Source organism: Homo sapiens, chromosome 1, assembly GCF_000001405.40.
Source record: "Homo sapiens chromosome 1, GRCh38.p14 Primary Assembly".
NCBI lineage: Eukaryota > Metazoa > Chordata > Mammalia > Primates > Hominidae > Homo > Homo sapiens.
Genome location: NC_000001.11, coordinates 155859526 through 155885552, shown reverse-complemented (window position 1 = coordinate 155885552; position 26027 = coordinate 155859526). Strand labels below are relative to the sequence as shown.

Below are 26027 nucleotides of genomic sequence, written 5' to 3'. Positions count from 1 at the left end.
ATTGCTTTTTGGGATAAATATTTCCAATTAAAGGGGCAGATTGATTCTCAGCACTACGAACCATCATCTCTCCCTCTGGTAGTGATGGTCTCAGAAATTACATTTCAAGAGGAAAACAGAAAGACCAGAAGTCCTAACTACAGCAAGCAGCAAACCAACTCACTTGTCAAATGAGAGTATCTAGGATGGGAGCCTGGAATCTGCATTTTTAAACAAGTGCCTCAGATGATTCTGAATCAAGTGGTCTGGGGACCACAGTTTGGAAAACACACCCTAGAACATCCTTTTGGAGTCTGAGTGTTAACCTCACTGAGAGTCCTCCAGCTTTCCAGAGAATCAGGCTGACATCACTGTGCCTATGTAATGTGAATCAGTCTTTATTTTGCACTTGTGTGGTGCATTAACAAATTCAACATACAAGATAGCATTACATATTGTAGATTAGCATTACAGCATTATGCAATTTCACACAATTCATGTTAGCTTTTTCAGTTTTCTTTTTTTTTCAAAATTTGACACATTTATTTTATTTTTGAGTTTCATTTTTACAAGAGAAGACACAAGGTAAAGAAAGACAACCACTTTGGAGAGGGATCATGGTGAGGGCAATGTCACTGTCATGGCCATAGTACAAGCCTTCCAAGAAAAGGGACCTGCGTTATTCCCTCTCCTGAGCAAGCTGCCCCTGTCCCACAAACCAGTTCTATCTGTTTTCACATCTAGAGCACTGTCCATAAACATGTCCATCTTGGCTGTGCTCCAGTGAGATGAACTGAAAGAAGGAATAACTCATAAAGGGACCTTTGTTATTAAGAAAAATTCTTGTCTTCCCAAAGGAATCAAGATCTCTTCAGAGAAGGAGCAACTGTTGGAAAATCAGAAGTGACCATTCCCTAACCTATTCCTGACCACGAATGCCTTGTGCAAAAGCTAAGATGTGACTCTCTTGTCTTTCTTTCAACTGACTCTTAGGAGAAGGCATTCCTCCTCCACTCTTATCAGTTAGCTCTGGAAAGAACAAATGTGAAAGCCAAAGTCAGCTAAGAAACTTTGAGACGGCAAAGTCAAGGGCACGATGGATCAGGCCTGAGGTAGGAGGGAGGAGCCCTGCACTGTCCGCCTCTTTGCCTTTTTCTGGCAAAGACACTGAGGCAGTTCCTAGGCTACAGAACAACTGGTTCCTCCCCTGTCACCTCAGCACCCACTGCTCAGTAGACCCAAAGATGCAAGGAATAAAGCTACAAGGAAATGGGGAAGAGAGAGGAGAGTGGGGTGAGGCTGTTTTCCCAGACGTTTGTCAGGAGGAGCTACAGAGGCACACACAGCAGGGCAAAGACCAGACTATCTCCACCTGTTGTTTTGCATTGTTTCTGGGAAGGAAACAAAAGCGGGTTTGCTCAGCGATTTCTGATCTTTAGACATTAAGGCGATGAAGAGGAACCATTTAAATTTTTTCCTAATGGGGCTTCAGAATGCTCCTGTCAGATTTACATTAAACTATCTCAAAATGCATTTTTAGAAAACAAAAATTATTTTCTTCTACTTATGATACAGTATTTACATTTCATGGGGTATAGGACAGAGACTAGTGGTATGACCCCAACTGATGGTGAAGTTGTGAGTCAGATTATGGGGGGTGGGGGTTGGCAGGGACAAGAACAGAGAGTAGGCTTTGTGACTGCTCAGAATTGCTCTGCATTGTCAAGAACATGGGCTGAAATCAAACAAAAGGTTTAGGGGGAGCAGAATGGTTTTAAATCCACAAAAGCTGAGGGAACACTGAAAGCAAGATCACCCCCCCGTCCATAGAGACTCAGCTTTCCGACTCCCTTCGCCAAAGCAAGGTTAAAAGTGATGTTCTTCTATGGAAGTGAACACTTCAGTCTCAACTAACCTTTCACGCCCTGGATCAAGCTGTTAAGCAACAGCTTGACTGAGTTCCTCCTCAGGTGGGCAAAAATATCTACTGCCTATCCAAGTTTACCTAGTTTATTTTAATTAATTAATTAATTAATTTTTGAGACAGGATCTCACTCTGTTACCCAGCCCAGAGTGCAGTGGCATGATCATGGCTCACTGCAGCCTCTACCTCTGGGCTCAAATGATCCTCCCACCTCAGCCTCCTGAATAGCTGGGACCACAGGCGTGCAGCACCACACCTAGTTAATTTTTTGTATTTTTGATAGAGATGGAGTTTCGTCATGTAGCCCAGGCTGGTCTTGAACTCCTGGGCTCAAGCGATCTTTCCACCTCGGCCTCCCAAAATACTGGGATTACAGGCGTGAGCCACTGCGCCCGGCCCCAAGTTTACCTATTATCCATGGAGTCTGTGCCATCTGCAAAGTCTCAACGTTGGAGACACAGCTGCTGTAGGAGTAAAGAGACTTGAATTCTAATCCCAGAAAGATGCTGAATCTCTCTCAACCTCTATTGCCCATTGGTAGAAGAAGAATTGCATCCTGTAGTTCCTCCATCCCTCCACCATGTGGTAAGACATAAATTCCAAGAATTATGCAGCTCGTTTTGAGGAAAAGAATGCTCTGAAAGAATCCAACTTATCTTCATTCACTCAGTCACACTGTTATTTTTTTAAGAGCTAAATTTTTATTGAAAAATTTAAGGAGAACTTCTGAGGGCCCCTGTTTTATGAAGCAAAGCTAACCTCATTACAACATCTAAGCTATTTGAGAAGACTCTAAAGCATCTCCATGGTCGGCATTTCCAGAAAAACAAAGGCCAGTGTAATTCTTCAAACCTCTGATGACTTCCAACCCATCAACCAAGAAATGGCTGTCACTACAGTAGATAGCTGCAAAGGGGAATGGCTGTCGTCACTTGTCTCCTCTCCTTGTCCTTATACCTGAAAACAGCTTTTGGGATCAGCTGGATGTGTTCATTGGTACTATCCTATAGCTGAATTTGAAGTTTCCAAAGCTCCTTTTAGAGAAGTCATCAAGTTTGATAAAATCCAAGTTCTGATGTCTTGGATGCATAAGTCTGATGTATTCTCTGTGCTTCAGTTAGGTCTGTCAGTTAATTATAGACTGCCTTTTACTACTTCATAGCAGAAGAGCTGATAGCAAAAATACCCCATTTCTCAATTCCTCTTTCTCCTGCAAACCTTGCCTCATCCACCCCACCTTTGTTTCTTGGCTTACTGCAGACCTCTAGACCTTGAGGTCAAAGAGCAGAGATATAAGAGGCAATAAAAAGAAAAGATGGGAATGATGAAAACATGAGGTTTTATAAGAGCAAAATTTTCTTCTGCAGAGGTGGGGAGTGGGAGAAATTCTCCAGAGAAGCCCAATAAAAAGAAGCCAATTTCAGGTAATCAGCAAATACAATTCAGCACAAAACACAATTTCCATGGATTAAAATCTGCAACTTGATATTGGCAGTTAGGCTAATTTCTTCAGTTTGTATTAGACATGCAAGTATATGGTTACATTGTTATATATAGATTTATAGGGGTCTTTCCCTCTCTTTTGTCCCCCATTAAAAAAAAAAAACAAAACAAAACCAGAGGCCGGGCACGGTGGCTCGCACCTGTAATCCCAGCACTTTGGGAGGCCGAGGCGGGTGGATCACCTGAGGTCTGGAATTCGAGACCAGCCTGGCCAACATGGTGAAACCCATCTCTACTGAAAATACAAAAAATTAGCCGGGCATGCTCGTGGGTGCCTGTAATCCCAGCTACTTGGGAGGCTGAGGGAGGAGAATCACTTGAACCTGGAGGGCAGAGGTTGCAGTGAGTTGAGATCTCACCATTGCACTCCAGCCCGGGCAACAAGAGCGAAACTCCACCTCAAAAAAAATAAAGTAAAATAAAAGATTCTAGCGCCTTGCAAAGCAGAAAAAAAAACATCATTGCTAAGAACTGATCTGCAGCTGTGGTCATATAGGGTGTTCTTTGTGGAATTTGTTTTGTAAGAAATTTTCTTCTACAACTAAAATGAGGTTTGGAGTCCACTTCTCTGTCATCTTTTTCCCCTCCACATCCCTCCCCAGCTTGGCCCCCGGGGATTAGAGGAGAGAAGAACAGGATTAGTACTCGCTCAGACTGTGCCACTTGGCCACAGGCTTGCGGGGGCTCTCGCAGACCTCTCTCCAGTGTTCAGCACCACTGGCTGTGACACTGTGTGCCCCCAGGATCAGCCTCCCCACCACCTCATTCTTGGTGGTGCGATCGAAGTCGATAACGAGGAACTCGATGCTGATATCAGGCAGGAGGTCAGTGGGGATGTCGTAGATGAAAGATTCATTGAAGATGGGGTTCAAAGTGCACTTCTTCACATGGGTTTTCTTCTTGGCAATGCGCTTTCTGCCGTAGTAGACGTTCACCTTGACATAAGGATCTGGGGCCCCCAAAGAGATAAGAAAAAGGGAGACAGACCTATGACACAGTCCTCTCCTATGTAATGGTAATTTCATGTTGGGAAAGGGGGGGCTCTGTTGTTCGTATCTTTGATGGCCATCCCATGTGTTCTTTAGTGATTGCACAATAAACACACACTGACTATATGTGAGTCTGCCTGCCTGGATGAGGGGCCAAGGAAACCAAGCAGGAATAGAACAGAACAACTTTCTCAGGTTAGGTCTGAAGAAATCCCATGATACCAAGAAGTATATTAAAGGGCACAGAGACAAATGCCTGCAGCCTTTTTGAGAAGTCTCTCTTAGCACCTGGCATGAATATTATTTAGGATACCTTGCCAAATGTAAAGACCCCATTTGTTCAACTGAAGAATCTTCCTAGCCAGGGAAATCTATTGGACGTAGATACTCATCAGGAAGAGAATGTCTACAGAAAGAGGAGCAGATTAAAAGTGAAAGAGGCAAGGATCTTGAAGTGTGGAGGTCTATCTGGGCCACAGGCAAGGAGTCGGGGATGGTTCAGACAGTAAGAAATAGGTTGAAGTAAATAGCTGCTACCTGAGAGACCGGTGATATCCATCTTCGGCAAGTGTCTGGCTTTGAGGACCACCACTGTCATTCTCTGTGCCACAGGCTGATATGACAGAGACACCTGGAGCTCCCCTCTGCTGATGCACTTCTGTGAGGAAAAAATGGCAGGTGAGAATCCTGGCAGAGGGTGCAGGGCAGAGCACAAAAAGTGTGCAGAGCAGTGGGAAGAGTCTGGGGGAGGACAAGTGCAGGGATGATAAGTTTTTTGGAAAGATGCTCATCCCCTGGAAAGGTGTTATGATTTTATTTAACAAGGAGGGAGAAAGGAAACATTATAACCATAATTCTGATATTAAATAATTTGCATGGAGAGCCCACATAGCCTTGGATTTATGAGCATGACCTCTGGAGCCAGATTAGCCTGGATTCAAATCCTGACTATTTCTCTTTTTTTTTGAGACAGGTTCTCACTCTGTTGCCCAGATTGGAATTCAGTGACGTGATCTTGGCTCACTGCAGCCTCCATCTCCTGGACTCTAGCAATCCTCCCACCTCAGCCTCCTGAGTAGCTAGGACTACAGGTGTGTGCCACCACATCTGGCTAATTTTTCTTTTTTCTATACACAGAGTCTCACTGTGTAGCCCAGGCTGGTCTTGAATTCCTGGTCTCAAGTGATCCTCCCGCCTCAGCCTCCCAAAATGCTGGGATTACAGGCATAAGCCACCATGCCCAGTTGCTATTTCTTATCTGTGACCTTGGACAAGTTACTCAACATCTCTGTACTTCAGTTTCCTCACCTATAAAATGTGGGTGAAAGGTTGTACCTACCACATAGCATTATCAGAAGGATTAAATAAGTTAAAATTTGTAAACTGCAATGGTGCCCAGCACATAGTGCGCACTATAGAAGTGCATCCTCTCATTTGGTTCTTATCCTTTAAAAAGTTCTGAAGACTGTACAGTGGGAGGTAGGAGAACTGGGTTTGAATCTTAACCTTGCCACTTACTCACCACATGTCCTTGGGCAAGTCCCTGAACCTGTCCCTGCATTTCACAGGGTGAATATCCACACCTGCTCTGCCCACCCCAATGTGCACTCCAGTGTATCTTCTCCAGCCAAGTCAGCTTCCTCCCCAGCACCCTGATCTTTGTTTCTCCATCTTTAAATGTGATGCTAGGCTCCATTTTGAGCTTGAAAAAACCTCTAGTCCTCCAATAACTTTTTTTTTGAGACAGAGGCTCGCTCTTGTCGCCCAGGCTGGAGTGCAGTGGCGTGATCTCGGCTCACTGCAACCTCTGCCTCCCAGGTTCAAGTGATTCTCCTGTCTCAGCCTCCAGAGTAGCTGGGATTACAGGTGCCCGCCACCATGCCCGGCTAATTTTTGTATTCTTAGTAAAGACAGGATTTCACCATGTTGGCCAGGCTGGTCTCGAACTCCTGACCTCAAGTGATCTGTCTACCTCGGCCTCCCAAAGTGCTGGGATTACAAGCGTGAGCCACCGTGCCTGGCCCCTCCAAGAACATTTTAAAGAACATTTTCATAGGCACTGCATGCCAGGTTTTGAGGATCCAGAGCTGATGGGACTCAGTTGTTGCTCCCAAGGAGCTTACCACTTAGTAGAAGAGTCAGAGAAGTAAATAAACCTGTGCGGGACTTGTCAGAGAAATGAGAAGCCTGTCTAAGTGCTCTGGGCACCTAGAGCTGGGAGATTCAGGGGAGGCTTTTTTAATTAATTAATTAATTAATTTATTTATTTATTTTTTAATTTTATTTTTTGAGACAGAGTCTCTCGCTCTGTCACCCAGGCTGGAGTGTAGTGGCGAGACCTCGGCTCACTGCAACCTCCGCCTCCCAGGTTCATGCCATTCTCCTGCCTCATCCTCCTGAGTAGCTGGGACTACAGGCGCCCGCCACCACGCCCGGCTAATTTTTTTTGTATTTTTAGTAGAGACGGGGCTTCACCATGTTAGCCAGGATGGTCTTGATCTCCTGACCTCATGATCCGCCCGTCTCGGCCTCCCAAAGTGCTGGGATTACAGGCGTGAGCCACCGCGCCCGGCCATGGAGATTCAGGGAAGGCTTTACCAGCTGATGCCTGGACTGAGTTGATGGGGGTACAAAACCATGAAGCAATGGGCAGAGGGATGATCATATCAGGCAGATTGACAGAAATGGCTGGTACAAAGGAGTTGGGCCTGAAAAGGTAAGCTGTGTTCAGAGAATGGTTGAGAGGTGAATATGCCTGAAGTGGGGGTGGCTGATAGGAGGGGTAGGTCAGGAACCTGGAAAGGTGGGCAAGGCTAGAGTAAAGGGCTGTTGGGACACTACCAAAGAGCAGAGTCAGCAGCACCCATACAAGAGGAGGTTGGTGAGTATAGGAGTGGCAAAGCTGTCATTTTTTTGAGTCAGGGTCTCACTCTGTTGCCCAGGCTGAAGGACAGTGGTGAGATCTCGGCTTTCTGCAACCTCCACCTCCTGGGCTCAGGAGATCCTCCCACCTCAGCATCCCAGGTAGCTGGGACTACAGGTGTGCACCAACATGCCAGGCTACATTTTGTATTTTTTGTAAAGACAGGGTCTCACTATGTTGCCCAGGCTGATCTCAAATTCCTGGGGTCAAGCAATCCGCCCACCTTGGCCTCCCAAACTGCTGGGATTGCAGGTGTAAGCCACCATGCCTGGCCAGTTGTCATCATTTTATTAAAATTATTATTATTTCAGAGAAAGGTGGAAAATGAGCTAAAGTCGAGGAAGACCAACATCAGAAAGCTCAGTTAAGAGGCCGCTATAGCCGGGAGCAGTGGCTCATGCCTGTAATCCTAGCACTTTGGGAGGCCGAGGCAGGCGGATCACGAGTTCAGGAGATCGAGACCATCCTGGCTAACACGGTGAAACCTGGTATCTACTAAAAAAATACAAAAAAATTAGCCGGGCGTGGTGACTGGCGCCTGTAGTCCCAGCAACTGGGGAGGCTGCGGCAGGAGAATGGCGTGAACCCGGGAGGCGGAGCTTGCAGTGAGCCGAGATTGCGCCACTGCACTCCGGCCTGGGCAACAGAGCGAGACTCTGTCTCAAAAAAAAAAAAAAAAAATTAGCTGGGCGCAGTGGCGTGTGCCTATAGAGCCAGCTACTTGGGAGGACTGATTGAGCCCCGGAGATCGAAGCTGCAGTGAGCTGTGTTTGAGCCACTGCACTTCAGCCTTGGTGACAGAGTGAGACCCTGTCAAAAAGAAGCTGCTGTGGCTGGGCGCAGTGGCTCACGACTCTATTCCCAGCACTTTGAGAGGTCAAGGCAGGTGGATCACCTGAGGTCAGGAGTTCGAGACCAGCCTGGCCAACATGGTGAAACCTCATCTCTACTAGAAATAGAAAAATTAGGCCGGGCGCAGTGGCTCACACCTGTAATCCCAGCAATTTGGGAGGCTGAGGTGGGCGGATCACGAGGTCAGGAGATTGAGACCATCCTGGCTAACAAGGTGAAACCCTGTCTCTACTAAAAATACAAAAAAATTAGCCAAGCATGGTGGCGGGTGCCTGTAGTCCCAGCTACTTAGGAGGCTGAGGCAGGAGAATGGCGTGAACCCGGGAGGCAGAGCTTGCAGTGAGCCGAGATTGTAGTCACTGCACTCCAGCTTGGGCAACAGAGCAAGACTCCGTCTCAGGAAAAAAAAAAAAAAAAAGAAATAGAAAAATTAGCCGGGTGTGGTGGCGGGCGCCTGTAACCCCAGCTACTCAGGAGGCTGAGGCAGGAGAATCGCTTGAACCAAGGAGGTGGAGGTTGAGGTGAACCTTGATCACGCCACTGCACTCCAGCCTGGGCGACAGAGTGAGACTCCATCTCAAAAAAGCAGACTTCGTTGTTCTGTAGCAACGTGCTACAGAAGAAATGATTGGGACTGGAACTAGGGCTGTGGCAGAGGAGATGGACATGGAGGTAAAATATGTCTCAGGAAGAATTGTCAGGGGTTTTTAGGCTTGGGCAGTTAATTGGCTGTGAAGCGTAGGGAAGAGGGAGGAAAGGGTGGACTATTTCTTGTGTTTTTAGCTTTAGAAAGTGGGGATGAGGCTGGGATAAAGAAAACAAAAGGAGGTGAGTTTTGGCCGGGTGCAGTGGCTCACGCCTGTAATCACAGCACTTTGGGAGGCCGAGGCGGACGGATCACGAGGTCAGGAGATCGGGACCATCCTGGCTAACACGGTGAAACCCCATCTCTACTAAAAATACAAAAAAATTAGCCGGGCGTGGTGGCGGGCGCCTGTGGTCCCAGCTACTGGGGAGGCTGAGGCAGGAGAATGGCGTGAACCTGGGAGGCGGAGCTTGCATTGAGCCGAGATCGCGCCACTGCACTCCAGCCTGGGAGACGGAGCGAGACTCCGTCTCAAAAGAAAAAAAAAAAAAAAAAAAAAAAGGGAGGTGAGTTTTGAGGAATGTAGAACATAATAAGTTAAATTTGGGACAAAATCATACCCCCACAATCACCCTTATTCCTTGTATTCTTCAAAGCCCCAAAGAAATGTCATCTACTCCAGGAATTCTTAAATTGAGCAAAAATAGACTATGCTCATCACCAACCTTATATACACCACACACCCACAAAAATGACTTGTTAGGCACTTATTAAGTGCCAGGCACTCTCTGCTAGAAGCTAGGGCTGAAAAGATGGATACTGAGGAATCCTACCCTTAAGAAGCTCCCAGGCTAGTTCACTATCTACTCAGGTATGTCTGGTGCAGGAAAGAACAGCGGCAGCAAATATGCCAATTAACTCATCAATAAAAAACAAGAAATAAGCCTAATAGTTTGTGCTTTGATTGTAGGCCTTAAGTCATCTCCAGGAATGAAACTGTGATATTTCACATGATTTTAAAAATTTATTGAGTCTATGTTTCGTCCTAGGAGCATATGGAAATGTCTCTCACAGGGCATAAAAAATAACTAACTAGGCTGGGTATGGTGGCTCACGCCTGTAATGCTAACACTTTGGAGGCCGAGGAGGGCGGATCACTTGAGGTCAGGAGTTCAAAACCAGCCTGGCCAACACGGTAAAACCCCGTCTACTAAAAATACAAAAAATTAGTGGGGCATGATGGTGCACACCTGTAATCCCAGCTACTCAGGAGGCTGAGGCAGGAGAATCGCTTGAACCCAGGAGGTGGAGTTTGCAGTGAGCTGAAATTGTGCCACTGCACTCCAGCCTGGGCGACAGAGTGAGACTGTCTCAGAAAAAAAAAAAATCTAACCAAGGTTTAAACCCACTCCTTAGCTTTTGAAATTGAAATACAAAAGGGGATCAACTTTAAAAATATTTTCATGTTTTTTCTCTGCTAGAGAGAAGCCCCACATTTTGTCCTTACCCATAACATATGTATTGTCAGCTTTTTTTTTTTTTTTTTTGAGATGAAGTCTCGCTCTGTCACACAGGCTGGAGTGCAGTGGTGCGATGGCTTACTGCAACCTCCACCTCCTGGGTTCAAGCAATTCTCCTGCCTCAGCCTCCCGAGTAGCTGGGACTACAGGCACATGTCACCATGCCCGGGTAATTTTTGTATTTTTAGTAAAGACGGGGTTTCGCTACATTGGCCAGGCTAGTCTCAAACTCCTGACCTCATGATCTGCCTGCCTCAGCCTCCCAAAGTGCGGGGATTACAGGCGTGAGTCACCATGCCCGGCCTATTGTCAGCTCTTAATCGTATCCATGGAAAGTATCCTCAGCCAGTTTTATTTTATTTTTATTATTTTTATTTTTATTTTTTTGAGACGGAGTCTTGCTCTGTCACCCAGGCTGGAGTGCAGTGGCGCGATCTCGGCTCACTGCAACCTCTGCCTCCCGGGTTCAGGCCATTCTCCTGGCTCAGCCTCCTGAGTAGCTGGGACTACAGGCGCCTGCCACCATGCCCGGCTAATTTTTTGTATTTTTAGTAGAGACGGGGTTTCACCGTGTTAGCCAGGATGGTCTCTATCTCCTGACCTCGTGATCCGCCTGCCTCGGCCTCCCAAAGTGCTGGGATTACAGGCGTCAGCCACCGCGCCCGGCCTTATTTTTATTTTTGAGATAGGGTCTCACTCTCTTGCCCAGGCTGGAGTGCAGTGGTGTGCATTCACTGCAGCCTTGACATCCAGGGCTCAAGTGATCCTCCCAACTCAGCATCCTGAGTAGATGGGACTACAGGCATGTGCTACCAGGCTCAGCTAATTTTTGTATTCTTGGTAAAGATGGGGTTTTGCTATGTTGCCCAGGCTGGTCTCAAACTCCTGGGCTCAAGTGATCTATCCGTCTCAGCCTCCCAAAGTGCTGGGAATACAGGTGTGAGCCACCATGCTTGGTCCCTCAGCCAATGTGTTTTTGTTTGTTTTGTTTGTTTTTCCCCTCGAGACAGGGTCTTGCTCTGTCACCCAGGTTGGAGTGCAGTGGCACGATCTCAGCTCACGGTAACCCCCACCTCCTGGGTTCAAGCGATTCTGGTGTCTCAGCCTCCTGAGTAGCTGGGATTACCGGCGTGAATCACCATGTCTGGGGTTTCCGCCACGTTGGCCAGGCTGGTCTTGATCTCCTGAGTGGAAGCCATCCGCCCACCTCAGCCTCCTTAAGTGCTGGAATTATAGGCGTGAGCCACCATGCCTGGCCCTCAGCCAGTTTTGAATTACAGTCTGGTTGCTCTTGCCAACCAGTATACTTCTGGGCTTTTTCCTTTTGCCAGAAATCAGAATGTAATCAGTGAATATAAACTCATTTTTACTATTAGCCACATCAAATGAAAAGTAATCCCATATGGAAAAGAAAATTGAATGGATTCCAAAACATTCAGAACTGAGCTATCCAATACAGTAGCCACTAGCTACACGTGCCTATTTACATTTTAATTTAAATTAAATAAAATTAAAATTATAGTTCCTCAGTTACACTAGCCACATTTCAAGTGCTCAATAGCGACATGTAGCTAGTAGCTACCACACTGCATGGTGCAAATATAGAACATTTCTATCATCATTAGACGGCACTGATCTAGAAAGGACTTTTGCATTGTTTTGGCTACTGCTCCCGTCTGTTTCCATGAATAATAATAAAATGTTAGCTAGGTTTGATATATCCATTTCTGGGGCCATCCTTCAATACTGAGTATCTAAATACTAAATATGCAGTCTTTAAATATGATTCTAACTTTATATACAGAGGAAGGATAGGTGGGGGAAAAGCAACGTTTCATTATTTCTTTTTTTTGAGACGGAGTCTTGCTCTGTCGCCAGGCTGGAGTGCAGTGGCGTGATCTTGGCTCACTGCAACCTCTGTCTCCCGGGTTCAAGCAATTCTCCTGCCTCAGCCTCCTGAGTAGCTGGGACTACAGGCACGTGCCACCACGCCCAGCTAATTTTTGTATTTTTAGTAGAAACGGGGTTTCACCATGTTGGCCAGGATGGTCTCAATCTTTTGACCTTGTGATCCGCCTGCCTCGGCCTCCCAAAGGGCTGGGATTACAGGCCTGAGACACCGCGCCTAGCCGACATCTGATTTTAAAAGCACAGTTTTATTTGCAAGAATAACACGAATGACAAGATTATAGCTTAGGTTTCCCGATTACTTATTTAAAATTCTGTATCCTAAATCATCCATTCTAGGAAAATCTTCCTAATCAAAATCCCCATGCCTCTTTCCTAGTTTTTTGGGAAAGTTGACAACTTCTGGTTACCCTTTTCATTTTTTTCTCCCTTAAAATCACTCCTCAGGCAACTGTCCTCCATCTGATCCCTCCTTCACCTTGTGCCATCTCACACGGGCAGCATGCCCATCCCCACTCAGCGCCGCTTTGTGATGCCCAAGTCTGTAGCCACAACACCACCTGAATGCCACTCCATTCTGCATTGAAGGCAATTTAATGTCATTCCCTCAAGCTCCCTCCCTTTCTCTTTCTACCCAATTCCCATTCCAAGTAGCTATGTCAATGGCTCTTTCTTTTGAAAGAGCCATTGAAGGCTGTGAGCAAGCTCTGTTTCCCAGCCCCTTGGCCTAGTGAGGCAAAGGCCCTGTTGGGGGGCAGGCAAGCAGAAGGACAAGGGGGAGAAAGGATTTTCTCATGCCTGACAGAGCTGCGGGGCTCGGCTCTCTGAGGGCAATCTCCTTGCTCCTTCAGTGGAACAGAGGAACAGGAACAGTGGTCCTAAAGAATACACTCAGAAGAAATAATACTTAGGCAAGGGATAGTCTGTTTTCCTATAATTAGCAGAACCTCTTTCAGAGTGATTTTCTAGCCAAGGAGCCCTTGTATTAGGTGGACCATCATAAGCTCAATAAACCCTTCTTGAGGCCAGATGTCCTGAGGGCCACCTCTAGCCTAAATCACAACCATGGGAAAACAAAACCTTAACATTCAATCCCATCCCCCTTTTCCTCCCTGCAATACACATACATGATCTGTTGCCCAGTCTGGAGTGCAGTTTGTGGTAATAGCTCACTGCAACCTCAAACTCCTGGGCTTCCCGCCTTGGCCTTCCAAAGTGCTAGTATTACAGGGGTGAGCCACTGTGCCTGGCCATATTTTCTTTTATTTTTTTATTTTTTATTTTTTATTTTTTATTTTGAGACAGGGTCTCCTTCTGTCATCCAGGCTAGAGTGCAGTAGCTTTTTCCTGGTCTATGTAATCCAGACCAGGAAAAAGCCCTTTACAGCCAGTGTGGCATGGTCCAGGGCAGCTCTAGCTGACGTTCACCAAGGAGAGATCCTACTTTGCTATGGTAGGGAGGATTTGGGATAGACATTTGCAGCCTGCACTTCTAGGGAACCTAGTGGATGAGTGACTAGGGAGATGACAGCCATGGCTCAGATGGAACATAGTCCTGCCTACGGGCACTGGTTGGGAAAATGGGTTTAGGAAGCCTGGGAGGCTGGAAGGCTCTAGGGTGGGGCTGCACAGGCTCTGGGTAACCTATCTCGGGCCTTCTCCAGGGCATGTGTTGCTCAGGATCCTAGCCCTGGCTTATCCCTCCTCAAGGGAGTTAATAAAGTGGAAAGAAATGTGGCTCTTGCCAAGAGCCCCTGGCAGCTTAGCAAATGCCATTGTCTGTGCTGTGTCCAGTGCCCTTGATTTGAGGCTGTTTTGTTCCCAGCCCAAATCAGTCCCTTTCATTGCCAGTCTCTTCCCAGCTGCAGCTTGGCACAGAGCCATGTTCTACTCCCAGCCTTGGGCTGCAAGTGTATAGCTGTCTGGAGGAGTCCAGCTGGTTGGTGACTTTACCAAGGTTGGAGTCACAGGGAAGGGTGTATTGGAAAGGCTCCTCCTTCAAGGAGAGGTAGACAAGGGAAGGAGTAGAGGATGGGAGCTGCTGTGAAGGGAATACGGAAACAGCAGAATGGGTCGGCAGAGCCCTGAGGAAAAAAGATGGGACAGGGGAGGGGAGAGAAGGGGATGAAACAGGCCACTGCTTCCATTTCTATTCACACCTTCTGATTCCAGTCTCAGAGGATGCGAAAACCCCTTCAGGGCTGGACTCTGGGATGTCTCATTGTATCCTGGCATTGAGAACCACAAGATGTTGTGGCAGTGTCTTGTTTATGCTCTGACGTTCACCAAGTTTTCCTATAATTAGCAGAACCTCTTTCAGAGTGATTTTCTAGCCAAGGAGCCCTTGTATTAGGTGGATGAACATAACCTCAATAAACCCTTCTTGGGGCCAGATGTCCTGAGGGCCACCTCTACCCTAAATCACAATCACAAATGTGTCTAATATTCTTCAAGATTCTTGGACTTCCCTGGCCCCTGTGACATGGATCTGAGTGTGCCAGGTGGCAGTAGCAGTTCCTTCAGGCAATGAAAGGCAGGACCGGGCTGGCTGCAGGGGGACAGGTGCCTACTACAGAGCAGAGAAGGCAAGAATACACACACACAAAGTGTGCTCCCTGCTGTCCCCCACCCAGACTTGGCACAGTACCCTTCTTCAGCAGGCAAACCTTGTTCCTGGGTACTCACTGCACACTCTGCACCTGCTAACTTAGGAGCCTCTTCTATCCAGTCCTGAGCCTCCTGTCTACCCACTGAGTCCAGTGAGGACTTGCAGGTAAAAAAGGTATCAAGAAATAAGTATGATCTGCCCACAGGCAGAGCTCTTTCTGGGAGATGTGCAGTTGTTTCTAGTGGCCTCGAAATTCTTTCCTAACCTCCTTCACCAATTCCTCCCTTGTCTTCCTTCACTGTGTCAAAACAAAATATAAATATTTACAAACCACATGCATCACCCAGGTATCAAACTTGACTAATAATAGGAATAACAATAATAGTAACGGTCACAATTTATTGAAGGCTCACTGTGTCCTAGTAGCTATATAAAATCATCATCCTACTCTATTCCCATAAGAAACTGAGACTTAGCGAAAGTGAAGCAGCTTGCCCAAGGTCATTTAGCTGGTGGAATTTGGATTTAAACTCAGGTCTGACTTCAAAGTCCTTGCTATTTTAACCACTTATGTTATACCCTGAAAAAGACATGAAACTCTAAGTTTAAAATTTCAACAACTTCTTTCATAGCACCTACCATACTCACTATACAGTAATTACAAAAAATATTTGTCTTTCTCCTTCAATAAAGTGAAACCTCTTCAAGGGCAATCATATGCCAGGCATATTATCTCATTTGATTCTCTGTAAGGAAGACAATATTATCAGCTCCATTTTACAAATGACAAAATAGAGGCTTAGAGGGGTCGAGTAACTCACCCGTGTCACACGGCTGGCAAGTGGTAAGCTGGAGAGTAAAGTCGTGCAGTCCAATTCTGGAGCCCAAGTGTTTAACTGCAGCATTTCACTGCCTCCCCAGTTGTGGAAGAAATAAATGAACTAATGGGGTTGGGTGGGGCTACACTTACTGTGCTCCTGAAATTACAACTCAAGAGCCAATGTCGGTCCAGTGGGAAGAGGGAGAGAGAAGGCAGGATGGAGGGCCCTCGTCCCTCTTCTAATACAAAGAGGGAGGACAGGAGAAATGGAGAGAGGGGAAGTGTCTATGGCAAAGGTTTGGGCCTAGAAGGGTGAAGCAATTCATTGAATTGCATTGTAAAATGGTCATAAGAAGACATGTGCATGACGGCTGGGTGCAGTGGCTCATGCCTGTAATCCCAGTACTTTTGGAGTCCGAGGCAGGTGGATCACCTGAGGATAGAAGTTCAAGACTAGCCAGGCTAACATGGTGAATCCCCGTTTCTACTAAAAATACAAAAAATTAGCCAGGCGTGGTGATGGGTGCTTGCAATCCCAGCTACTCGGGAGGCTGAGGCAGGAGAATAGCTTGAACCTGGGCGGTGGGGGTTGCAATGAGCTGAGATTGCGCCATTGCACTCCAGCCTGGGCGACAAGAGTGAAACTCTGTCTCAAAAAAAAAAAAAAAAAAAAAAAAGACATGTACATGGTATCATTTACACCCCTAGGTTAGGGTTGGGAAAGGGAAGCTGAGGGAAAAATTACTGAATTATTGTCATAGCTTCTCAGCTGTGAAAAATAAATTCACTGGAGGAAGATCACATCATTTTGGAGAGGAAATTAGCTCCCATATCCCTGATATAATGAAGGATCTACAAATGGTAGGCCAGCCTGTTCCAAGTAAGCTGGACAGCATCAGGATGCCAACCACTAAGTGAAATGGTGAAAGCTATTGAACCTTCTCTCACCAGGAAGTTGCTTCTTAGAGGAGACCTCATCTGCCAGGCCCTCTGTCTTACTCTGACCACTGCTTATCCTTGACATCCAAGAGCTTCCTCTCTACAGCCCTTCTTTGCCACCCAACCCACTCCCCTCCCACTTCCATTTATCCCCTGAGATATTTTCTCCCCCAACCTACCATTGCTCCCCAACACACACTTCCTACTCACCTGGATATTCCTTTTGATGATGTCCCTGGTCAGTTGTACCTTGCCTGTGCTGGGGTCCACCCCTGCCAGTGGCACCATGACCTCGCCAATGACATCATCCCGAGAGAAGCGGTCAAAGCTGAGGACAAGGAAGTGCAGCACCAGGTCCTGCAGCTGGCTGTAGGGGATGCCATAGAAGGTGAAGGTCTCGTCAAACACAGGGTCCAGGGTCTTCCGCAGCACTCTGGTCTTCACCCGATGCCGTTTGTCAGGAAGGATGGTCATTTTGATGTAGGGGTCAGATCCCTGGGTCTGGTCATCCATCACTGGCAGCCCATGGGCCTCCTGGATTGTCACCACCAGGGCTTTTTTCGGGAAGTTATAGTCCACTGAGAAGGTGAGGGATCCTAGCATGACATCCTCCTCTGGAGATGATGGAGAGGTGGTTTTGCTCTCCCCAGGGGTCAGGCTTGTAATAGGGCTCCTTAGTTCTTCCCCATAGTCCATTTTGATGGGTAATTGGTCTATACAAGATCCAGAGCTAGGCCCCCTGGGATCTTTGTCTCGGCTTAGCAGGCCAGCCTCTGCTGCGTCCACCAACAGGTTCCTACGTCCACCTTCCCTCCCAGGACCATCTTTGTCTCTCCGCACTTTGATGATTTTCTTCTTGTTGCTGAGGGTCTCTGGGTATATGCTGATGCCTTTGAGCATGTGAATAAACTTGTATGGTGGGTTCTTCTGCTTCTTCTCTGCCTGCTGGTGGCAGCATGACCAGACAAAGACGGTCACCGAGACACACACCACCAGCACAGAGGCCCCGATGAGGCCGGCCACCACCGGTGACACATCTGAAGGCGGAGATCAGAGATGTGTCAGGGCGGGTGGACTTCACCTCCTGTCTAGATCTCCCCTGCTCATTGCCACTGCTGGAGCCAAGCTAATCTTCAATCTAGCCTCTAAAGCAAAATGTGCTCATCTGGGCTTCAGAATTTTTCCCTTCTATTAGAGGCACCCTCTCCCAACCTCTCCAACCACTCCACGGCTTTTCCTCCCAGCCTTCTATAGAAAGCCTTCTCTGAAGCACCCCACTTGACTCTATGTTCTTTCCTAGACCTTCTCTCAGCACTTATAGACTTGGTTTGCTCATACTGATTTGTGCTTCACATAAAGCTGCTCTGTACGTGTTCTAAGATCACCTTTTTACATGAGCACCTGTTCACTTCAACTGTTACACAAGATGTTTGGTTTCAGGATATTCCATAGCATCCAGAACAGGGCCTGCACTGACTGACTCGCTGTCAGGCTAGGGTGGAAGGGTGTGGAGATGAGTTTAGATGGTCTTGGTAGGGTGTTCAGGGTAGTAAAAATGGATGGGTGCCAAAAGGAAGAATTCTGGGTTTATGTACTTTTAAAATATGTTCCAAAATTTTAGCTCCCAGGTATATAAAATACAAGGCTGGGTGCAGTGGCTCACACCTGTAATCCCGGCACTTTGGGAGGCTGAGGCAGGTGGATCATTTGAGGTCAGGAGTTCAAGACCAGACTGACCAACATGGTGAAACCCCGTCTCTACTAAAAATATAAAAAATTAGCTGGGCGTGGTGGCATGTGCCTATAATCCCAGCTACTTGGGAGGCTGATGCAGGAGAATCGCTTGAACCTGGGAGGCAGAGGTTGCAGTGAGCTGAGATCGTGCCACTGCATTCCAGCCTGGGTGATGGAGCAAGACTTCGTCTCAAAAAAAAAAAGGTATTCCTCCAGGATGAATATATCCATTGTAGGCAAAAAAATAGGTGTGTGTATGTATGTATATATATATATGTGTGTGTGTGTGTGTGTGTGTGTATGTGTATATATGTATATGTGTGTGTATATATGTATATATGTGTGTGTGTATATATATGTATTTATGTATACATATATTATTCTAAATAGGAAGAAATAGAGACTTTCTCTTTTCATTATTATTACCTTAATAAATCCTTCACTGGAAGAAATAGGGGTTTTCTTCCCTATTAGTGGAAAATGTCAGATCTCTGCTCAAATGTCACCTTCTTAGGCCTTTCCTGACTCACCTATTTAAAAGTGCAATCTTCTCCATCCTCACCACCCACTCTTCCTAGCCTTGCTTAATTTTTTTCAACATGCCGTCATTCTCGCTCTCTGATACACACACCCCTACACATGTAAGAAAAAAATATATAAAATACATACACAAATATGTAAGAATAAACACCCACACGCATATTATTTTACAATTTATTATTTATCTTCACTAGAATATAAGTCTCATGAGGACAAAAATTTATGTCTGTTTTGTTCACGGCTGTACCCTCAGCACTTAAAACACATAGCAGGCACTATGTGTTGGATGAACAAATAACTAAACAGAAATAGGCCGGGTGTGGCGGCTCACGCCTGTTATCCCAGCACTTTGGGAGGCTGAGGCAGGCAGATTACCTGAGGTCAGGAGTTCAAAACCAGCCTGGCCAACATGGCGAAACCCTGTCTCTGCTAAAATAAAATACAAAAATTAGCCAGGTGTGGTGACACACACCTGTAATCCCAGCTACTCAGGAGGCTGAGGCAGGAGAATCACTTGAAGCCGGGAGGTGGAGGTTATAGTGAGCTGAGATCGTGCCACTGCACTCCAGCCTGGGCAAAAGACCGAGACCCCATCTCAAAAAAAAAAAAAAGAAAAAAAAAAGAGAAAGAGAAATAGATTTTTTTTTTGTTTCCCTTACCCTAGTCTTATCTTTTCCCACAAAAATTGGACCCTCAAGTTTCTTCGCTCCCTCAAGTTCATTGAGGCTAAATTGGGTTTAGGCTTTAAAGGTCCAGATTAGGCCTATAGTTTTTTCCACTTTACTTTTTAGGGGACCACTTGGAAGGGAGGGAGAACTAAGGAAATAAATGTAGCCTGGGCAACATGGCAAAACCCCATCTCTACACAAAAAAATTACAAAAATTAGCAGGGCATGGTGGCACATGCCTGTAGTCCCAGCTATTTGGGAGGCCAAGGTAAGAGGATCACTTGAGCCCAGGAGGTGGAGGTTGCAGTGAGTTAAAATCGTGCCACTGCACTCCAGCCTGGGCAACAGAGCGAGGAAAAAAAAGAAAAGGAAATAGACATAATTCCAGCATTTCCCCGATTCTTTCTGGAATATTCTTTTTTTTTTTTTTTGAGACAGAGTTTTGCTCTTGTTGCCCAGGCTAAAGTACAATGGCACGATCACGGCTCACCGCAACCTCCGCCTCCAGAGTTCAAGCAATTCTCCTGCCTCAGCCTCCCGAGTAGCTGGGATTACAGGCATGCGCCACCATGTCCGGCTAATTTTTGTATTTTTAGTAGAGACAGGGTTTCTCCACGTTGGTCAGGCTGGTCTCGAACTCCTAACCGCAAGTGATCCAATTGCCTCGGCCTCCCAAAGTGCTGGGATTACAGGCATGAGCCACCGCGCCCGGCCTAAAGCATTCTTGTATCAGGCATCTGTGCAGCTCACTGCTTCACTTATCGTGAGCCCCGAACCTCACTGGATGAGGGAAATATTTCCTGTCTGCCCCAAGTAAGATAATGTCCCCATCACCCTTCCTTAATTTTCTTCATGGAGCTTATTATCCTGACATATATTTATTATCTTTCTTTGATCACTAGACAAGCTTAATAAAACAGCAACTTTGTCTGTTTTGTTCACTGCTATAGTTCCACGTCCTAGAACTATGCGGCATGTAGTAAGCGTTCAGTGAACAAAAGAGTCAGTGAATTCAAAACAGCCTCCACAGATTAGAAAGAGAGGATTGAGGCCTGGTGCGGTGGCTCATGCCTGTAATCCCAGCACTTTGGGAGGCTGAGGTAGGCAGATCACCTGAGGTCAGGAGTTCGAGACCAGCCTGGCCAACATGGTGAAACCCTGTCTCTACTAAAAATTCAAAACTTAGCCTGGCATGGTGGCAGGTGCCTGTAATCCCAGCTACCTGGGAGGCTGAGGCAGGAGAATAGCTTGAACCTCGGAGGCGGAGGCTGCAGTGAGCTGAGATTGTGCTACTGCACTCCATTCTGGGTGACAGAGTGAGACTCCATCTCAAAAAAAAAAAAAAAAAAAAGGATTGAGTCAAGATGATTACATATATCAGGGATAAATGTAAATTTCTATTTGGACTCAAAAACCTATTTATAGTCAATAACCTCACTTGATGAGTCAAAAATGACTTAGGAATTTAGGCAACCACAATCTTGGACTATAATTAGTATAATGCCTACTGTTTTCCCTTCTATTAGAGGTATCCTCTCCTATCCTCTCCAACCAATCCATGGCTTTTTCTTCCCTCCAAACCTAGATGAAGGGTTTATCTTCTCTAGAAAGCCTATGAGCATCATGAGCACAATACTATGAGCATAATGTCCAGATTACATGAGAGGCAGGTATAATTTCATCTGCACTGGTCATAATATACATGTAATATTGTGTATAGCAGTGACAATAATAAAATTGCTATTTTTTGTGTAAATTTATATGTCCCTGCCAGGCATTGTGGTAGAGCTTACTTTTTTTATTTCTTTTGAGACAGCGTCTCATTTTATTGCCTAGGCTGGAGTGCAGTGGCACAAGCTTGGCCCACTGCAACCTCCACCACCTGGGCTCAAGTGATCCTCCTGCCTCAGCCTCCTGAGTAGCTGGGACTACAGGCACATGCCATCACACCTGGCTAATTTTCGTATTTTTTGCAGAGATGGAATTTCACCATGTCACTCAGGCTGGAGTGCAGTGGCATGCATGATCGCAGCTTACTGAAGCTTTGACCTCCCCAGTTCAAATGATCTTCTTGCCTCAGCCTCCTGAGGAACTAGGACTACAGGCATGTGCCATCATGCCTGGTTAATTTTTTTTTTTTTTGAGATGGAGTCTTGCTTTGCCCAGACTTGAGTGCAATGGCGCGATCTCGGCTCACTGCAACCTCTGCCTCCCTGGTTCAAGTGATTCTCCTGCCTCAGCTTCCTGAGTAGCTGGGATTACCAGCACATGCCACTACACCTGGCCAGTTTTTGTATTTTTAGTAGAGACGGGGTTTCACCATATTGGCCACGCTGGTCTCGAACTCCTGACCTCAAGTGATCTGCCAGCCTTGGCCCCCCAAAGTGCTAGGATTACAGGCATGAGCCACCATGCCCAGCTAATTTTTAAATTTTTTTTAGAGATGAGTCTTCACTATATTGCCCAGGTGGTCTTGAACTCCTGGGCTCAAGCAATTCTGCTTTAGTCTCCACCAAATTGCTGGGATTACAGGTGCAAGCCACCATGCCTAACCAAGGAAGAGTTACATTTTATTTAAAATATATATTTATTGTTATTATTTTTTTAGAGACGTGGTCTCACTCTGTGGCCCAGGCTGGAGTGCAGTGGTGCAATCACAGCTCACTGCAGCCTTGAACTCCTGGGCTCAAGCAATCTTACTACCCTAGACTCCTGAATAGCTGGGACTACAGGACCATGCCACTATGCCTGGCTAATTAAAAAAAATTTTTTTTAGAGACAAGGTGCTATGTTGCCCAGTCTGGTTTTGAATTCCTGGCCTCAAGATCCTCTTGCCTCAGTCTCTTGAGTCGCTGGAATTATAAGCACGACCCACTGTACCCGGGTACATTTTAAAATAATATAGATAAGGAGCAAAACATTATTAACAAAATAAATCAAGGTGACCATGTCTATATCCATACCGAATAATAATAGTGTTTAGTCTCAAAGTATTAAATGAAATAGCTTTTAGGGAAAGTTTTCACAAAATGGAGACAGCCTTGGTAGTAAGCTACTTGAAGGCAGGCAGGAACAATATCCTATGGATCTTTGAATCCCTCAAGAGTCTCTTGCTTCTAATAGGAGTTCAGTAAATATTTGGTTGAACAACTAATTGGATTCAGTTGCCATTAAGAATGGGCACAGCCTAAGGAAGTGGCTCTCCATTCATCAATCAGGTGCTTTCCTGCAAATTGTTTGCTACTCATTAGTGAAACTGAACACTGTCTCTATGAGAAGAGGAACACAGCAAACTACCAAGACAGGCATATTTTTTGGAATGATCATAAAGAGAGATCTGAAGGCTTAGATTAGGAGACACCTGGGCAATTCTTTTGGCTCTATCATAGATTTATTCCCTGCAGCAGTGCGGTGGAGGAGCGGGGGGCAACCCACTGCTGCTTACATATTTACAATGCATCAACTTTTATTGTTAGAAAATGGAGATAGGGTAGAAAAGAGAGAAGATGAAGAATTCTCATATTCCAGGAGGATAGAGAAGGAAAAGAAGAGAAACAGATGAACGCATCTTTGAATTATCTAGTTGTTCCCCCTGGCCTTGTTTCCTATTTTTGCTGTTCTTTCTTCATTTTAGTATTTGTTAACTCTTGCCTCTCTCCCTGAAACCAAGACAATGAGCTAGAATCATCAAAGATATTAAAACCTAGAGCTCTCTGTCTTGCTTTAGTCCAAAGCTTGGTGGGAAATGGAAGTTGAAACTAATGGCTGAAGTGAGTGTTTTAAAGTAGCTATAAATTGCAGTGACCTGTGCTTCTCGCTCCTTTTGTCCTTCATGGTCATGGATAATTGAGTGTTGGCTTGGTGTATCACCCAAGTGCTGTGGCATTTGAAATGAAGTACTCTATGAGATGTGAAAAAGTTGGAAGTGGTAGTTCTCTATGTAGGAGATCCTCTGTAATGGTTTAAAGACCTGCAAGACACATCTGGGCTATTGGCCAGCTCCTTCAGCTTCTGACCAGAACTGCTTTTATTGACACCCCCTTTCCTAAACATAGCTTTTCGCAGTCAAGTAGACAAATATAATACAATGGAATGAGAATAAATTTTGGCTTCAGCCAGACATTGGTTTAAATCCTAGCATTGGCCAGGTGCAGTGGCTCACACCTGTAATCCCAGGACTTTGGGAGGCCAAGGTAGGCAGATCACCTGAGGTCGGGAGTTCAAGACCAGCCTGACCAACATGGAGAAACCCCATCTCTACTAAAAATACAAAATTAGCTGGGTGTGGTGGCACTTGTCTGTAATCCCAGCTACTTGGGAGGCTGAGGCAGGATAATCGCTTGAACCCAGGAGGCAGAGGTTGTGGTGGGCCAAGATCACGCCATTGCACTCCAACCTGGGCAACAAGATCGAAACTCCGTCTCAAAAACAAAAACAAAAACAAACTAGTGCTACCTTTAGTCATTTGTTTGGCTTTAGCCAAGTTATTTTATTTCTGAGCTTTGGTTTCCTTGTCTGGCAAGTATATATAATAATACATACACTCGAGGGTATTTGTTAGGATTAAATAAAATGTAGTATGTAACAGGCTGATATAATTTATTTTCCCTTTCCCAATAATAGTCCCTCTAAGAGAAATCACTATATTATGTTCCACACCATCTCCTTTTTTCAAGGATTCTGGAACTGCAGTTAGAGAAAGGAATCTGTTGGAAGGGAATAAGAAGAAAAAGAACAGGAAGAAATCATGGATTGCTCATGTGATCATGAAAGGGACTTTTGTTTTGGAAACTTAGAACTCAAAGAATAAAGATGCGGAAGGTGAAGTGGAAGAAAAAATACCATCAAGATTTAGCCTTGTGGAATAAGTGAGAACAAGTAGTTAATGAGTGTGAAGATCAGTTATCTGAACACATCTGATTTGATTTCTTCTTCCTTATTCTGAGGGGATAGAGCACACTGGATTCTGCTCATTTCACTGTACCTCTTATTCAGGAATGAGAAAAGCCATTTCCTAGCTGGATTGTGTCTCCACCCTAAAAACTGGAGTCCCGATGCTCAAACCTACTGGATTGTCTGAGGGATAGAATCCCTGAAGGAATAAGAAGGTTCTTTGGCAGCAACTCTCACTGGCTTCCCCCATCTAAACTGAATCAAGGAGAAGCAGGGCAATTATATTTTATTTATTTGATCAGGAAAGCATAACACAGGAAGTTTGCTCCTTTAGCATATACTGCAGGAGTCCCCAAAGAGGAAAAAACTTCCTTCTCAAGCTTGTCTTTGCCACCTTCTTCCCTATTTTCCACTCCACTTTCTGCTCCAGAGAGTGTAAAACTAATCTTGGAGCCCACAGGGCTGGGTCGGGGACCAGCCGCTCTGAAATGACGTAATGCTTTCTGCGGTACACAAAGCGGCCTCCCCCGGGCTGGGCCTCTTTCGCCCCTCCCCCTCCGGCCTGGATCGCGCCCCCGCCAGCATCAACGCTGGTCAGTCCCCCTTTTTGAAAAGGCGGCCCAGGGAAACAGGGAACAAAGGCCCCGGAAGGAGAGCGTCGGCGCTGCCAGGAGGCCCAGAAATAGACATCACGTCATCCCCCAGCCCAGCAGCGCCAAGCGCCATTTGGTAGCATCGGAGGGACCCCACCATTACGATGCGGAATGGAGCTTGCAGGGCTCACGTTTCCTCCTAGCCCCAGCATCCAGCTGACCGGCTTAAGGAGTGGCTTCCTTTTTGCTCCCCACCCCGCACCCCTCTTTCCCCAGAGGCCGCCGCCTCCCCTGGCTGCCAGCCACACGGCCCACAGTCTCCAAGCTGCCATCTTGATGCCCCATCCCCCTTGTCACTTCCCTCCCCCGCAGCCCTTAGGAATGGGAGGGGGAGGAAGGGGCACCGCCCTGTGTGCCCCAAGGGGGAGGGCTTGGCCTACCCCACCTCTCCTCCCCCAGAAGGAGGGGTTCACATCCTCCGCACGCTTGCTGTTTCTCACCTCCAGCAGTGCTGACAGTGCACCATACAAGGTTTTAGCATCCTGGACTTCCCCACCCTCGGTGTGGCTCAGGCCCTGCCAGTCCCTGCAGCCCATAGCTCAAGTTCATGCACTGTCAACTGCCCACTACCCACTACCCACCACCACAGGCCCGATTTTAGTGGGGCTGGCATTTTGAAGGCTCTGGTCTGGGCTGCATTCTCTGCCCTGCCGCTGGGCCCCCTTGGCCTTGCAACCATTCTGACCACCTCAAGCTTAGTTTTCCCGAGTCTACTTACCAAAGCTAGGTCGGATATTGGTGATCTCAGCCATGTCGTAATCAGAGGCTGTTGCTATAACGTTTTTGCAATGGTGAGACAGCTCTGGGAACCCTCGGTCAGTACCGAGGCAGCAGCTGTAGAGCTCTAGGTCAGGGAAGGGGGAAGGTATCCAGCGGACGCCTCCTGCGACGGTCCGGCCCCTAGTTGTCAGCTGCGCTCAGCTCTTAAGATGCTCCGGGGATGCGCTGAGCTAAGGATGCAGGTGCAGTCAGACTGGTCCTGATGAGA

At 46.4% G+C, this 26027-nt stretch overlaps 1 protein-coding gene across 3 annotated transcripts, besides 1 other annotated feature; it reads right to left on the bottom strand.

Annotated features, from left to right (window-relative positions):
• Window positions 1–353: 353 nt before the first annotated feature.
• Window positions 354–25986, bottom strand: SYT11 (synaptotagmin 11). 3 transcript variants are annotated; one of them, XM_017000759.3, is made up of 4 exons: window positions 25758–25986; window positions 16762–17588; window positions 4930–5053; window positions 354–4364 (listed from the first exon to the last, which is right to left on the bottom strand). In XM_017000759.3, exons 1-4 carry the CDS (start codon window positions 25789–25791, stop codon window positions 4045–4047), a joined length of 1305 nt encoding a protein of 434 aa, XP_016856248.1. In that variant the 5' UTR covers window positions 25792–25986; the 3' UTR covers window positions 354–4044. The 3 variants fall into 3 exon arrangements, with proteins under 3 accessions (XP_016856248.1, NP_689493.3, XP_005245071.1); NM_152280.5 differs by having other exon boundaries at window positions 354–4355; XM_005245014.4 differs by having other exon boundaries at window positions 354–4355; window positions 4933–5053.
• Window positions 25746–25845: an enhancer, noted in NCBI's record as "active region_1822". NCBI's record gives its function as "activates an Ori minimal core promoter by ATAC-STARR-seq in GM12878 lymphoblastoid cells {active_cell/tissue: GM12878}" and the evidence as "EXISTENCE:reporter gene assay evidence [ECO:0000049][PMID:35858748]".

What these genes read in the sequence shown, in the direction of transcription:
- SYT11 (XM_017000759.3), bottom strand. Translation starts at nt 25,791, where the DNA reads ATGGCTGAGATCACCAATATCCGACCTAGCTTTG. An exon ending in TCATCAAAAGGAATATCCAG is followed by an intron (nt 5,054 to 16,761) that starts GTGAGTAGGAAG and finishes TTTTCCTCACAG; the next exon opens with AAGTGCATCAGCAGAGGGGA. An exon ending in TATCACCGGTCTCTCAGGTA is followed by an intron (nt 4,365 to 4,929) that starts GCAGCTATTTAC and finishes TTATCTCTTTGG; the next exon opens with GGGCCCCAGATCCTTATGTC.